Raw genomic sequence first — 3,404 nt, 5'->3', positions numbered from 1 at the left:
AACGTTATGGAAAATTTTTTTTATTGCTATCCAAACTAAGGTAAAAAATATATTTTGATTAGATGTTAGCTTGGGTCCTCATTTTATGCCTCAAGAGAAAACCAACATAAAAATGAATAGAACACACTAACCCCATTCCCCTTTCCCGGAAGATGTCCACCCCTCAGCTCCTTGATGGTTTAGGAAGTCTTGGCTACAGTTGCAGAACCTCAGATATCTGATGTCTCTTACTCACCCAAGTGAGTTGCGTGGGCTCAGATCTTTGAAGAATTCCATCTTTCAGAGAGCAGGCTGAGGGGACTGCATGAAATATCTGGCATGGTATGAAAAGAGGATGTGAAAATGGGACTTTTGCTGACATCTGGAGTTTGGCTGAGGCCCCAAGTCCGAGGCCTCAGTGTTGGCGCCCACATCCTGGGGGCAGATGCTCGCTTATCTGTGGTAGAGACTCCTGCCTTTCCTGACAACCATTCTCCTTTCTTCCCTGGTCTTCCTTGGAGTTCATGTGGTCCTGTGATACCTTGAAACATAAGGGAGAGGAAGGAAGGCTGACCCCAGGAGCCTGTTCCTCTTTGCCTTTCCCTGTTTTTCTGCTTGAAATACGAAGAGGAAAGCGAGAGTTCTGCAACCATCCTGAGGACTCAACAGTGGCTCAGACATTTGGAAAGGCAGAATGCGACCCTCAGGGCATGGCCTCATGCCAGCGTGGAACTCTACCTCCAGGCTTCATCTGGGTGATGCACTCAGGCCACTGTTTGGGAAGCTCTACAAGTACAGCCAAGCACAACTACTGGCTTGGATACTGAAATGCGACATGGTGCTAGATTTGCAAAGGCCATAGAATGGGGGGCTGAGACCTGACTGTGGGAGGGAGACTGGAGGGGAGGGCTGCTGGCACACTCTGCCACTTTCTCCCCTTCGCCAGGTGAGGGGCCTCAGGGGGACAACTCTGAGATTGGCAAGCACCTCTTCCCGAGCTTCAGGGCATGTGGTGAACGACCTGACTCCCCTGAGCTGCCTTTAAGAGAGAGACTGGGACGGCGGGGTGAGGGAGACAACTGCTGGGCTGCTGGCTCCTCAGCACTGACCTTACTCCCACCACAGCTGTCCTGCTGGCCCCGGGAGGGCCCAATAAAGAGAAGCCGGACTGGGCCACCTTGAATGAGATTCTGCTCAAAAAAGGCACCTGCAGAGGGGTGGCCTAGAAGTCAGCCTGGGGCGGAGGGCCAGGGACAGAGGAAGGAGGGTGTGACCCTGTAGACAGTCTCAGTCCCGCCTTGAAGCTGCCAGGGCACCTAGGGAGAATGTCAAGAAGCTGGGAGCCCCATGGAAGGGAAGAGTCAGTGGCTGCTGTGACAAAGCCCAGGCAAGGTCGGCGGCTTGGCGGCAGCAGACATTTACTCCTCGCGGGGCTGCAGGCTGGAGCCCGAGGTTGGGCGCCCATGGGGCTGGGCTCTGAGCTGCTCCCTTTCAGGCTGCAGCTGACTGCATTCTCACTGTCCTCACACGGTAGAGAGAGGAGGGAGCTGTCTGGGGCCTCTTTCATAAGGGCCCTTATCCCATTCATGGGGCCCCCATCCTCATGACCCAATCACTAACGCCACACCCAAAAGCTCCACTCCTAACAACATCCTATTAGGGGCTAAGATTTCAACATGTGGATTGAGGGGACACAAACATTCACTCCGTAGGAGGCAGCATCTGGGCTCGCAACATGGGGAGCTCTGGCAACGCCAAGGGATGGAAGGCTGCCTGAGGTGGTCCTCGACCCAGGTGACCTCTGGAGCCAGAGGGTCTGCCATGCAGAGGAGGAGTGGGGGACAAGGAGAGGAAAAAGTAACCACTCTTCCTTTCCCAGCCGAAGGCCTCATTGAGATAAGCGCTAGAGGAGCAAAAGTTTTTAATGCGATAAAAGTCTGGAGTTTTGATATCGGACGAGACCAGACTTTGTCTTCTTTGTTAGGGATCAGAAATGCTGTGAAGCCTGCCTGAGATTTCACTGAGGTGGGGAAGAAAGATTTAACACAGCCGGGAGAAAAGGCGGCAGTGTCAAAGACGGAGGCTGCTTTCTATCTGCCCCTTTCCGAGCCAAGCTTGTTTAGTGGCAAGCCTGGAAATTTAAAGGGGACCGAAAGGGGGGTGAACTCCTCTAGCTGGTGGCTGCCTCTTGCTGTCCTGTGGTTTCTGTTTCGTTGGAAGCAAAGGAATCAAAGCACTTTGCTGTCAGAGAGGTAAGGCATTCCCAATTTTGGCACACCATCAGATAACAGATGCACAAAAAGAATAAAATAAAAGTCGCCTGTATTCTGCTTCTCACAGATAACATTTTTGTGTCTGGTCTTTCAAATTGGATAACTGGACAGCAATGGCACTTTCTGTTGTCTCAGAGAAGTGTCTCTGAAAAACTAGTGCTAGACACATCCCTGCAGGATTTAACAATAGCCAACTGGATCCATCTTCATCACCCACTGCCTCTAGCTTTGAGAAGAGGTGAGTTGCTCAGCAGAGGAAAAGATTATTTGCAGGAAACTTTTAGACATAGAGGGCTATGCCATTGATTGTCCTTTCAATACCTATAGTCAAGGAGAGTGTGTTCCTCCTTTGGGTCAGATGCAAGGGCACCCCAAGAGAGTCACTATAAAATTTAGGGTGGCATGCAATAGGGGAGCCCATGGCTGGAGGAGCTGTGGAAACTTGTGCTATGCTTGGATGGAAGCATCAGCTGGTTCTTGGAAGCAACTTGTGTCCCTTGGAGTTTAGAGGCTTATGAGCATGAGGACAGGTGCCTGACTCTCCCAGGAGCCTGGATGGCAGTGCTCCCCCACAGCAGCCAGGAACAGGGAGCAGGAAAGCTGACTGCAGGTACTGTCAGTCAGGGCAAGGACATTTGATGTCTTCATGTCAGTGGACAGTAGGGTGGAGGTCTGGTCATGAGTCATCCCGGAAGGACCCCAGCCCAAAGCCTGCCTGCCAAAGGGACTGTGGACATTCCTTTGGGGGACAGGAGTGGAGAGCAGAGGCAGGAAAGAGGAGTGCTCATTGGCAAGTCAGGGCATGGTGCAGTGGGTGTCCCTTGAGGGGTGGCTGTAGAACCACAGCACCCACAAATGGAAAGGGCTTTGCCCCTTTTCCTCATATCCTAGAGGATCCAGAGCACGGAGGGTGGAGGAAGTGCAGACTGTGCCCTCTCTCTGCCCTGCACTGGTCCTGAGGCTGAGCACCATGCCAGGGCCTGGGGAAGGGAGACCTGAGGGTCCTCTGGAAAGGCCATGGTGGGAGGAGAGCAGTGCCCTGTGCCACTGTACCTGGGAGCGGGCGGAGCTGTGTGCCACTGTACCCGAGAGACAGGGGGCAGAGCTGTGTGCACTGTACCCGGGAGGGGGCGGGCAGAGCTGTGTGTATTG

At 53.1% G+C, this 3,404-nt stretch overlaps 1 annotated feature.

Annotated features, from left to right (window-relative positions):
- Nucleotides 328-377: an enhancer, noted in NCBI's record as "active region_20455". NCBI's record gives its function as "activates an Ori minimal core promoter by ATAC-STARR-seq in GM12878 lymphoblastoid cells {active_cell/tissue: GM12878}" and the evidence as "EXISTENCE:reporter gene assay evidence [ECO:0000049][PMID:35858748]".

Source organism: Homo sapiens, chromosome 3 (assembly GCF_000001405.40).
Source record: "Homo sapiens chromosome 3, GRCh38.p14 Primary Assembly".
NCBI lineage: Eukaryota > Metazoa > Chordata > Mammalia > Primates > Hominidae > Homo > Homo sapiens.
Note: the sequence above shows the minus strand (reverse complement) of the source record. Positions and strands in the feature narration are given on the sequence as shown.